This window comes from Homo sapiens, chromosome 10, assembly GCF_000001405.40.
Source record: "Homo sapiens chromosome 10, GRCh38.p14 Primary Assembly".
Taxonomy (NCBI): Eukaryota; Metazoa; Chordata; class Mammalia; order Primates; family Hominidae; genus Homo; species Homo sapiens.
Genome location: NC_000010.11, coordinates 83,664,466 through 83,677,492, shown reverse-complemented (window position 1 = coordinate 83,677,492; position 13,027 = coordinate 83,664,466). Strand labels below are relative to the sequence as shown.

The 13,027-nt window shown below is 37.8% G+C and overlaps 1 long non-coding RNA gene across 1 annotated transcript; it reads left to right on the top strand.

Annotated features, from left to right (window-relative positions):
• The first annotated feature begins 403 nt into the window (after positions 1-403).
• LINC02650 (long intergenic non-protein coding RNA 2650) lies at positions 404-5,087 on the top strand. The gene is made up of 5 exons (NR_134317.1): positions 404-463; positions 819-911; positions 2,048-2,143; positions 4,254-4,354; positions 4,928-5,087. It is a non-coding gene; the product is annotated as a long intergenic non-protein coding RNA 2650 (long non-coding RNA).
• The last annotated feature ends 7,940 nt before the right edge of the window (positions 5,088-13,027 follow it).

Here is a 13,027-nt window from a genome sequence, read left to right as displayed (position 1 = left end):
ATAAGAAACTGGAATGAAGTGGCTTATACAAGGGCACACCGTGGAGAAGGTCAAGTCCTCCAGACTCATCACAGTGCTCTTTGGGTGGTTATATAAAACTCCTAGGTGTTTCTAATATGCACCCGGGATTAGAAACCATAGGCCTAGGTGGAAAAATGAAACCACATATACAAGTGCACAGAAGAGGGAATGTTCACAGGATTCCATGTATCTCATTAAGTCTAGTGTCCAATTTCTTTGGGTTTTAAAAAAAAATCCACCTTTCTTGGGCTTCACAGACCAGGAGATACTCACATGGAATGAGGCTGTAGTCATGGTAATAAACAGTATTGTTTGGTAACTACCCTTTTAGCAAAATCACTGAAACTCTGGCCCCCAGATTCCTCCTCCTGTTTGTGAGCTCCTAAGGTGACCCTTTGGCTCCTGAGCAACCATGACACCCTTGGCTACACCAAAGCTCATTGTAAGGCCCATGATCATTCTTTCTTGGCCTTACCTGTGGCTTCTGTATGGCTTCCTGGTTCAGCACATGGTTATTTTTCCAGCAAGTCTTGATTCTACTTCAGTAGTCTCTATGCTGAATTTTTTAGTAAAATTTAAAATGTACATTTGGATTAACATATGGTGGCCAGTATTTTACCAGGCCAAGATGAGATCTTGAGAAAGAAACACTATTTAATATTATCTTTTCACAAAAGAAAGAATATTCAAACTCCAGAATATAGAAAGGAGGAGATATTTACATGAAGAACATATTTTTAAATTTAATAAATTTTTTTATATAAAATTAACTACAGAATTTTTTTTCTCATTTCTAGGAAAATCATTACAGATGGACTCCATGAACCAGTGTTTAGAAAGCGCTGCTATATGTTTTTAGGAATACATAGGGAATTTGGTAGGAAGATTACGTAAGTACACCTGCGCCATAGTACTTTATCATCCACACCCTTCTGATCCTCAGCCAGGTCGGGTGAGGGTCTCCCAAAAGCAAGAGAATTCCATACACTCCTGTCAATGTTAAGGATAATAAGGATTTCTCAGTTTACTAGGACATGTTTTAGTTTCATTCTTTGGTTGTGAGAAAGAAGTCATCTGCATTTTTTTCCCAAAAGAGGATGTTGATTTTAAGGAAACATGTGGGCTAAAACTAAAATTGATCTAGGAATCAGAAACTCTGTTTATTTCTTGGGCCCTTACTCATGATCTTTGTACTAAAAAAAGTAAACAAAAAAAATTTTAGCATGAAAATAAAAATAAAATATGTTTACCTGAAATGTTTGCTATAGAAGGGGTCCATCCATCAGATGAACTGGGCTTTCAGAATAAAAAGTACACTGTTATTCCAATGAAAAAGAAAGTTATAAATGGCCTAATCATTGGTAGAAAAATAGAAGTTGTGACTTATAATTATAATTATTATATCTATAAGGATTGTTATGTATTATATTTCTGATTAGGGAATCAGAAATATATAGGAAAGGGGCTCAAGACACTATTTATTTGGGGGGATAGTATTAGATAGCGTGTTCTTGTATTTTGAGGTTTATTCCTGAATTCAAAGTATATTTTTTACGATTACACTAAATAATAAACATATTCATATGGAAGAGGGCAAGGTGTCAGTCTTGTATTTTCATATGTTTGTTGATCTCCCTACATGTGAACTAATTCTTTCAAAATTTTTTACTTCAAATTTCTGGAAGAAAACTGTGATTAACCATACTTACTTCTTCATGTCAAGTCAAAAATCACCATCCAGGCTTTATTTTACTACTTTTACATGAAGTGCTCATCTTTGGTTCAAATAGCTATAAAAAGTGAAGGACATGGGTTACATAGTAAAAGAAAGGCCATCTACGGGCTGAAGGACTGGTAGATTCCTTAGAAGCGGGTGTGATGAGGAAAGTAGCTTAAATACTATAGTCCAGTACAATGGTCTTAGCCTTTGTTTTCAGCCATTGGCCTAAACTCATTCAGTCGTTAAGTATTCATGAAATCCATTATACCCTTAAGCAAATAAAAAATCTGTTAACCTACACTTCAGTCTGCCTCAGGCATATTCGGAGTCTCATGGGGGTATCTGTGAAGAAGACGAGCACAAGAAAGCCTAAGTTCAGTACACACAGTAGGACTGAATCAGGTATGCTTGACAGATTACGTCAGAAAGACTTTTAACTAATCAATTTCCTTAAAGCAATTTTGATTAACCTAGGCTAATCAAGGTAGTGAATGGTAAATGAAGACATAAATAACCTCAGTAAATGAGATTTTCAAAGAATATGTAAATTGAGAAGGATGTGCTAATGATGTGATGTCGTTCATTCATGTGTCAGTAGTTGTTGAAAATATACTTTTATGCTTTTTAAAATTAGGATAGTAATTATTTTATGAGGCATCACAATAAAATCTCTCCCTTGTAAGTGTTGAAACTAGTTGCCATAATGTCCCACCAGTGAAATTGTGTGAGCTCCTCTTTTAAAATTTTAGAAGTTTGAAGAAGCGAATACTAAAGATTTTTATGAGTTTATGTAGGTATTGAAGAAAAAACAGTGCTGTCATGCTACCAATAATATGAAGGTCATGGCCCACAAGTGTTAACTATATTGAAAGAAAATGGGCTGGGCGTGGTAGCTCAAGCCTGTAATCCCAACACTTTAGGAGGCTGAGGTGGATGGATTGCTTGAACCCAGAAGTTTGAGATCAGCCTGGGCAACAAGGCATACTCCTGGCTCTACAAAAAATACAAAAATTAGCTGGGCCTGGTGGCATGCGACTGTAGTCCCAGCTTCTTGGGAGGCTGAGGTGGAAAGATTGCTTGAACCAGAAAGGTTGAGGCTGCAGTGAGCCATGATTACGCCACTGCACTCCAGCCTGGGTGACAGAGCCAGACTGTCTCAAAAAAAAAAAAAAAAAAAAAAAAAAAAAAAACAGAAAGAAACAAGAAAAGATAAAGTGTTATGGTCATAAGTAAAGAAATATTTGAGACTGACAGCAAAGAAAGCTTTAACATGTTTCTGGATAGCTGTGTAAACTTAGCCAAGACACTTATCCTTAGTTTCCATTTTACAAGCACTGGAAACAGAAAAAACAAACCAACAAAGCTTTTTCAGATTGAACGCATTGTATAAAGAATATTCTTACACATTCTTAAAGGGGAGAAAATGAGCAAAGTACATAAATAGACAGAGAATGGGAAAATTATTAAATTATGAATTGAATTGGATAATAAAGAAATGAAAGAGGAACAAAAACAAAAGGAAAGAAGAGAAAAATAGAGAACTGGTACTTTATATGTATTTGACTTTTACCTGACACAAAAGAGTGGGGAAACTCAAGTCCAGGCATCATGGGGCAGATCCAGGCTTCTGTACTTGTCAGCTTTGTGACCACAACCAAGTTCCACTGGTGCCCCTGAGACGTCAGTCATCTCATTTATAAAAATAGTAGATGAGATGATTTGCAGGGTACCTTCCTGATTTATAACTTGGCTTTATATAATTGTAAAAGGAAAGGATTTCATTTTGCTTGTCTTAAACCACCAGATACCAACTGTGCCTCTGCTGTACCGAGAGACAAATAAACCCAAAATGCTTTCATGACACAAATATGCATATGCTCATGGATTGCCTTCAATATCTCGTGCAAGCTCATTCATTAATAAAATATCAAAAATCCTGTAATTACCCAGAATTTGCTTAACTGAAAATTACATTTGCCGTGAAGGTACTGCCTGGACCTAGACATCAGGTGGACTCTGTAGGCAGCCCCTAAGTTCATCCTGACCAAAGCTAGACCATTGCCCCAGCTGCTCATGGCTGAAGTGTTAAAGCAAGTTCAGTGGAGTCACATGGCTGTGCCTCCTAGAGCTTTGGGGACTTTTGTGCCATATGGAAGGTCCTCCCTGTTGCTCCTAGTGCCTGGGGCAGGCGAGCAGACTATGCATCAGCAGCAGCGCTGAGACAGCAATTTGGCACTCATAGACAGATCTGGCTCAGCCTCCGGCAAACAACATCTGTCCTGCTGTTCAGTTTTATGGGGGTTACCACCTTCATGTTTGAATATCTAACATGCTCCTTATATAGCACATGGCAGAATGGAATGGGAGCTCATTTAGGCAAAATGACTGGGTTCAAACCTTAGTCATCACTCATGAGCTAGGGTACTATGAACTAATCTCTAGATATCTCCAAACTCTTTTCTTCATCTATCAAGTGGGAGTAACAATTTTAATTGCTTGATTTGCCTTTCAGAATTCTTATGGTCACAAAAGCCTCTTCTGAGGGTAAGAAATCAGCAAAAACTCCAAATCAGCAAAGGAAACAGACTTAAAATACATGCTCATTTCCAAAAGGTTTGTACAGAATCGACAATCCAGCCATGGCTGACTCTGTGAACACTAACGTTAACATTTATGCATTATGTTCCTTTTCTCTCTATACTTCCAGTTTTTCATTCCAGTGCTTCTTTTAGTGTCTTCAAATCCACATTTACTCTTTTGTAATTTCTATTGCCTTAAGGCCTGTGTCAGGTATGGCTGAATGTTAACTGTGCAGAAGGTGTCTGTGACCTACCCAACACCATCATTATAATATAATAATAGCTGACCTCGACCAGGTCTACTCTCTGTCTGCCATTGTGGCAAATGTTCATGTGGATGGTTCCTTATTTAATTTTATTGTCATTCCCAGGAGCAGTGTTTTATTAATCAAATTTATCCATTTATAGGTGAGGAAACTTGCCTACAATCACAAGTGCCTGACAATTTCCTCAGACCTTTATCTATTTCTCCATTCCTGTTCACTATTATTCTTTATCTCCATGGTTCCCAGACTCCTGACTGTATTCCAGCTCTATTACTTTTTCTTCTTTTCTTTGGGTTGGTTAATATCCACAGTCTTATTTGGTTTCTTGCCTTTTCTTTCAGGTCTGACTCCATTCTTCTTTTTGCCAATTTTTAGATCCCATATAATCTTGGATAGAAAAATGATCTATACTGCATCAGAATCATGGAACCTATTGGCAAAGGGCATTCTGTCCCTTCAATTGTAGCTTCAACCTCATTGTCTAATAAATAATAACTACCACTTTTTGAGGGATCAATGTATATCAGGCAATTTTCTGAGAGGACTTAAGGCTGCACCATTTCATTCAGACATTATAATAGCGATTCAACATTGCTAGCTCCATTAGCAAGGTACTATTATTTTACTGAAGCCCCTTAACTCCAGTACATCCAGTATACGACAGAGCCAGAACCTTAATCAAAGTCCATTTGTTGACACCAGATTCTAACTATAACCTTTACAATATGTTAACTTTAACTGTGCTTATTCCGATTGCTTATTTTATACCATCCCATGGTTCCTTGATTTTATTCTAGATCCCATCTAGAATTGAAGCCAGGCAAAAAGTTGCTCCTATTTGTTGAAGTTATAGTTTGTTCATTTAATACCTTCATACTAATCCTTCCACTTATGCATATTAAAACCCTAAAAAGTGCAGCTCCAAAAAGTGCCTAGTAACAAGAACAACTATTTTCTAATATTCTGCAATATGAATGATGTCCCCTTGAGTTGTGCAGCAACTCGAAGGGGCAGAGCTGAGAGCATAAGCAGTGTGTCTGAAGTGACACATCATAATACAGTGCCATCTTAGTGTACTAGGAATAGGGGAAAACTACAAAAAAAGCTTTTATTAGGAAAATTCTCAAGGTTAGGCAGCTGCCTTTCTTCATAGAGTGAAGGAACCATCTGCTACTGCTCATGCCACTGTGTTGCCTGATGAATTCTTATTGCCCACTGGTTGAGACCCCTGGTGTTTCTGTCGTGATAGAACAAGTAAACATGATATATAATTTATAAAGTCTTTTAATTTGGGATAAATCCAATGGATATTTTGTATTACAATGTTGCCAAAGCCAAATTTTAACTTTTTGAACTTTTGACCTCTGAATGTTGAAGATTTGATAAAAATTTTACAACCACCTATTAGAAAAGATGAACAAACCCCAGACGTAGGGAATATGAACTAACCTATACCCAGAAACATAATAATTAAAGTGCTTAAAACCAGTGATAAAGATAAAATCTTAAGATAAGATAGAAAAAAAAGACATTTGTACACAGAGGAACAGATATAAGGATTACTGCAGATTTCTTGTCAGAAAAAAAGTGCAAGCAAGAAGACTGGGTAACGTTATTTTTAAATTATCTTTATTATCCTTTTTAGCATCATGTTTTAAAAACATCACTTTTTAAACATCGTCTTTCAAAACATCCTTAAAAAAATGAACATAGAATTCTATATCCAGTGAAGATGCCTTATTTTTTTTATTCTTTGAGACAGAGTCTTTCTCTGTCGCCCAGGCTGGAGTGCAGTGGCATCATCTCAGCTCACTGCAAGCTCCGCCTCTCGGGTTCACGCCATTCTCCTGCCTCAGCCTCCCGAGTAGCTGGGACTACAGGCGACTGCCACCACACCCGGCTAATTTTTTGTATTTTTACTAGAGATGGGGTTTCACCATGTTAGCCAGGAAGGTCTCGATCTCCTGACCTTGTGATCTGCCTGCCTCAGCCTCCCAAAGTCCTGGGATTACAGGGAAGATGACTTTTAAAAACAAAGATGATTATTACACACCTATTAGAATGACTGAAATCCAAAATACTGACAATGTCAATTTTGGGTCACAATGTGGAGCAATGGATGAGACCTTCATTCATTGCTGGTGCAAATGCAAATAGAGTTTGCCAGTCTTTTACAAAGCTAAACATAGTCTTGCAATATGATCCAATATCTAGGTATTTACCCAACTGATTTGAACACTTAAGTTTACCAAAAAATCTTCATGGAGATGTTGAACTTTCATAGCTCTAAAAACTGGAAACAACCAAGACTGGAAACAACCAAGATGTCCTTCATTAGGTGAATGGATAAATAGTTTCACATGCCTACAATATAATATGATTCAGGGATAAATAGAAATAAGTTTTCTAGCCACACAGAGACATAGATGAATCTTAAATGCACATTGCTGGCTGGGCATGGTGGCTTCTGCCTGTAATCTCAGCGTTTTGGGAGTCTGAGGCAGGAGAATCTCTTAATGCCACGAGTTTGAGACCAGCATGGACAACAGTGAGACCATGTTCCTCTAAAAACAGTTAAAAGAAAAAGCATATTCCTAAGTGAAATAAGCCAGTATGAAAAGGCTACATACTATATGATTGAATTTGTATGACATTCTGGAAGAAGCGTAATTATAGAGATGGCAAATAGCCAGGGGTATGAGGGAAGAGTTGAACAGGTAGGACACAGGATTTTAGGAAAGTAAAACTATTGTGTATAATACTGTAATGGTATATACATGATGATACACACTTTGTCAAAACCCATAGATCTTTACAACAAAAAATTTAATGTACATCATTAAAATGTTAATGTGAAAAAATTGATATTTCCCAATCAAATTTTATTTTTTATTTTTGATGGAATTAGCAACAAAGAAATGTGTGTCCCTGCAAAAAACATGATCTCATTCCTTTTTATGGCAGCATAGTATTCCATGGTGTATATGTATGACATTTTCTTTATCCAGTCTATGACTCATGGGCATTTAGATTGATTCCATGTCTTTGCTATTGTGAATAGTGCTTCAGTGAATACACATATGCATGTATCTTTATAATAAAATGATTTATATTCCTTTCGGTATATACTCAGTAATGGGGTTGCTGGGTCAAGTGGTATTTCTGCCTCTAGGTCTTGAGGAATCACCACACTGTCTTCCACAATGGTTGAATTTATACCTTGAGCAACAGTGCAAAACATTCCTCTTTCTCTGCAACCTTGCCAGCATCTGTTGTCCTCAACAAACTAAAACAGGAACAGAAAACGAAATACTGCATGTTTTCACTTATAAATGGGAGCCGAATGTTGAGAACACATGGACACATGGGTGGAGGGGAACAACACACACTGGGGTGGGAGGAGGGAGAGCATCAGGAAGAATAGCGAATGGATGCTGGGCTTAATGGTGATGGGATGATCTATGCAGCAAACCACCGTGGCACAGATTTACCTATGTAACAAACCTGCACATTCTGCACATGTACCGCTGAACTTAAAATAAAAGTTGGAAAAAAATCCAACAACAACAACAACAAGGAAATGTCTTTCGAGAGCCTATCCTAAGAATATCCCTGACCTAAGAATATCCATTATGTCAAGCACTACATCAGAATTGGATTTGGCATGCAGCGTTTTCTTTTTATGAGCTCATTACAAACTTATCAGTTGACTTTAAGTTTCAACAAATGAAGATGATCCTGGGTGGGTCTGGCCTAATTAAGTGAGTCATTTCTTCTGTATCTACCACAGAACTTAGCAAATTGATAAATTTAAATGGTTTGCAGTATGAATAAAAAATGAATGAGCATAATTCATTATTTATTAAGGATGAATTAGGTGAGTCCTTTAAAAGAAGAAGAAGCCTCAGAAAGAAATTCCCATGCTTGCATGAAGGATGAAGTAATTACCCTGTTGTGAACAGAGGGTAGCACATGGCAAGGGCCTAAGGGCAGCCTGTAGGCCCCAAGAGCAAACCCTGGTGGACAGTTAGCCTGAAAATAATAACAGCAGTCATACAGACATAATTAAGTTCTAGACTATTTAAATAGTCATCTTGCTATGCATATCATAATTAATATATAGTGTTCCTTCTAAGCCGGATCTGGTTCAAAATCTTCTTACTCCCAGAAACTATTATTGATTTTGCCAATTCGAAAAGTATTTTTCCCTCTGAAACCCCAAAGCACTATCTATTCTTTTATTATTTAAAAAAAATAGCTAACAAAAGATAAATGCTTGAGGTGATGGATGCCCCATTAACTTTGATGTGATTATTACACATTGAATGCCTGTATCAAAATATCTCAGATACCCCATAATTATATACACCCACTATGTACCCCCCAAAGTTAAAAATTTTTTAAATTTTAAAAGTTGCTAAGTTACTTTAGGTGAAGTCACTTAAACTTCAGTTCAAATGGCAATTCCTCCATTGTGTGAATTTACTCAATTTACTAGCTTCTTTGAGCCTACTTTACTCAAAGAGTGGAAGGATGTGGAAGGGTGCAGTGAGGTAATATATGAACCATGTGACAGCCATGTTGTCTTAGTCAGCTAGGACCACTATAACAAAATACCATAAAGTGGGTGGCTTATAAAGAACAGAGATTTATTTATCATAGCTCTGGAAGCTGGGAAGATCAAGATCAAGGTGCTGGCAGATGCAGTGTCCAGTGAGGGCCAACTGGTTCATAGATGGTCATCTTCTCGCTATTATCTCAAATGGTGGAAGGGAGGAGGGAGCTCTTTGAGGTCTTTTTTTATAAGGGCACTTATGAAAAAGTGCTCTAATAAATAAATAAAAATCCTATTTATGAGGGCTCCCTCTCATGACAAAATCTCTTATCAAAGGCCTCACTTCCTAATACCATCACATAGAGGGTTAGAATTTCAACATACAAATTTTGGGAGGGGGCACAATCATTCAGTCTATGGCATAGGACTATCAGAGCAAGTGTTCAGTACACATTAGTTGTTATTACCTTTCCAAAGTGGATTTTAAATGCCTGTGGGCCAGCACATTATCTTCTACTTCTGTTTCTACCACAGCGCTTAGCCAATTGAGGAACTTAAATGACTCTCAATATGAATAAAATAATGAATGAACACAAGTGTATTAGTTTCCTTTCTTAGCTGTTAATAATTATCACACAGTAACTTAATACAACACAAGCTTTTTATCTTACAGTTCTGGAAGTCAGAAGTCCAAAATGGATCACACAGGGTTAAAAATCAAGACATTGGCAGGGTTATATTCTTTCTGGAGTCCCTAGGAAAGACTCCATTTTTTCGCCTTTTTAGCTTCTGGAGGCTGTTCATATTCTTGGGCTTATGACCTCTTTCATCTTCAAAGCCACAATGGCCGATTGTGTGTTTTCACATTGTATCACTGACCTTCTGCCTCCCTCTTCCATGTTAAAGGACGTTTGTGATTACATAAGGCCCTCCGGATAATCCAGGATAATATCAAGGGCAACTGTATTCCTGAGCAACTTTAATTCCTTCTGCAACCTTAATTCTCCCTCACCATATAACAACATATTCATAGGTTCTGAAAATTAGGTTGTGGACATCTTTGAGGGTCATTATTCTACCTACCACAATAAGTAATGGGACTGGGGTTTAAAGGCATTGGAGACAGGAAAGTTTAGGAAGGCCACTGCTGCAAGTGGGAATGCCAAAGATTCATTTAGCAATGGTGGGTAGTATAATTATGGAGCTTGCCCAGGGGTCAGAGAGGGTATTGGCCAGAGATGAAGCTGGACCAACAAATCAGAGCTGGAGCATAGGCAGTTGGTAAGGTGGCCATCAATGGTTTTTGTAGAAGGATCAGATCCATGAAATAAATACGTTGTTGGTGTTGTAGAAAAACCATGAGTCATGGACATGTGGGCAGGGAATGTTGAAATATTTTCACACTAAGAAATGATGAGACACAGCCTTCGGATGATGATAGCGAAAAGGGAGACAAGAAAAAGAATTTGAAAGCCTTTTTGTAGATGAATGAGCAGACACTGCTGATCCTCTCTTTATGCTTTTCATATATCTAGCTACCAAGCAACATGACTGAGATTTCCAGGAGAAGTCATTGAAGGCAGGAGCTGAGGGATGAGAAGGCTGGGACACTGAGCAGGCAGTAAGATAGCTAGCTGGTGATTGTAACAATCAGGGCTATTCTCAACTCCCACCACATCACACCTCTCCAAGCTCCACAGACAGTTCCAGAGACAACTGTCTGTTTCCTTGATTAAACCTTTAAAGTAAGGTGCTTGTCTTTTAACATATCAGAATATTGTGCTAAATGTCCATTGCATTCTGCATTCAACTGCTTTATTCCACTGTCAGATAAAAACTAAAATTAATTTTTCAGGGGCAAGAACTTAGAAAGAAGATTTTAGACATAGCCCTAATGGTCACTTTCTTAGTCTGCTCAGGCTGCCATAACAAAATATCACAATAGACATTTATTTCTTAGAATTCTGGAGGGTGAAAGACCAAGGTCAAGGTTCTGGCAGGGTAGATCTGATGCGTCATCTCTTGATTTGTAGGTGACTGCCATCCCACTCTGTGCTCACATGACCTCTTCTCTGTGTGTGCATGGGGGCAGAGAGAGAATCTCTGGTGTCTCTTCTTCTAAGGGCACTAATCACATCATAAGAACCCCCACCCTCATGACCTCATCTAACCTCAACTACCTTCTAAAGACTCCATCTCCAAATACAATCATATCGGGAGTTAAGGCTTCAACATATGAATTTTTGGGGGAACATAAGCATGCAGTTCATAAGTCACATTATTTTCTCATGGATCTCAAAAATTCAGAAAATGTCTCTAATTATTATCCTCACTCCCTTCCCATATATATTCACAATTTATTGTCCTGATAATTCATCATGACCAGCTAGTTGGCAGTGGAGAGTGTGCATAGACAATTTCTTTATTTGCAAGACTCTTTCATAGTGAATCCAAAGCTTTGAATAGGCCTCTCTGCATCCTCAGCTTTCTTTGTGATCAACTGATCCATCAGTTATCCAGCAGAGGCAGAATATTTCTGGTCTTAGTGACCTTGTGAGGCCTTTCATAAAGACATCAACTTTCTTGCAACAAGATGCAACTGAAGTTTAAGTACTGCAAGGCTCTCCTTTGTTGAAATGCCTGCTTGAATTTCTGATATAATGTTAGGAAGATAAACCACTCCGTTTCTCAAAAATTATTATCTCAAAACTTTATGATGTCCTTGGATACAGAATAGAATGTATCCAGAAAGGGGACAGTTTAGCATCTTTCTATGACCATAATAATCATATTTGTTTTTAAAGTTATTTTGTAATTAATTAATTTTTAGAGATAGGGTCTTACTCTGTCACCCAGGCTAGAGTGCAGTGGTGATCATAGTTCACTGCAGCCTCAAACTCCTGGATTCAAGCCACCTTCCTGCCTCAGCCTCCCAAGTAGCTGGGACTATAGGCAGGCACACCATGCCCAACTAATTATTTTTTTAATTTTTTAGAGACAGGGTCTTGCTATGTTGCCCAGGCTGACCTTGAACTCCTTAGTAAAGGAGAAGAATTACTGGGATTACAGGTGTGAGCTGCTGCAACTGGCTCCAATAGCCATATCTCTTAATGGACAACTGTGGCGCTATTAGACAAGATAAAATTATGAGCCAACCATTGCAGCTTTACTCACAGTCAGAGAGGTTGATTTGTGTTCATCTCCTCTCCTGGCACAGTTTGGACATTTTATGGTCTCTAGCCCTTTAATTACTCCTGTTTGATGCATCTATGGTCCACATTGGCATGAACTCAAATGGATTTCTTACCATATATTTTCTTCCAACACCCAGTATTTCTACATCAAATCATCAAATTTGTGATCTTATGTAAATACCATGTGACTTATAGGTAGAATATATCTTTATGTAACCTGCTTGCCAATAATGTTATTAAAACAATCCAGAAACTTCATGTTTGGTTGAAGAAATTGAAGGATAATGGAGGTTATTTACATGTGGTAATGGTCCTAGACAGTGACTGAAACCTAGCAGGTGTGCGGTTCATGCTGGTCTCCTTTTTCTCTGGTATTATCATCTATGTTTTCTTCAGCTAGACCCGCTTGTCAATTACTATATGAAAAATAAAGTTGCACAATCTCTTGATAGAGAATCTATTCCTATTTTTCTGGTGCTTTGATTGATTCATTAGTACAGATTCACTTTTTCATCACTTCTTACCTGACCACTGTGGCCAAATAATACTAAATACATAGTAGTAAACACAAAATGAGCAATTCTCCCAGTTTACAGAACAAAGCCAGCTTCTGCTATAGATATTTTTGTCTGCATTTGTCATATAAGAAATTCACTTAGAGAGGCCAACTAAATTGTCAAGGTCACACAGCT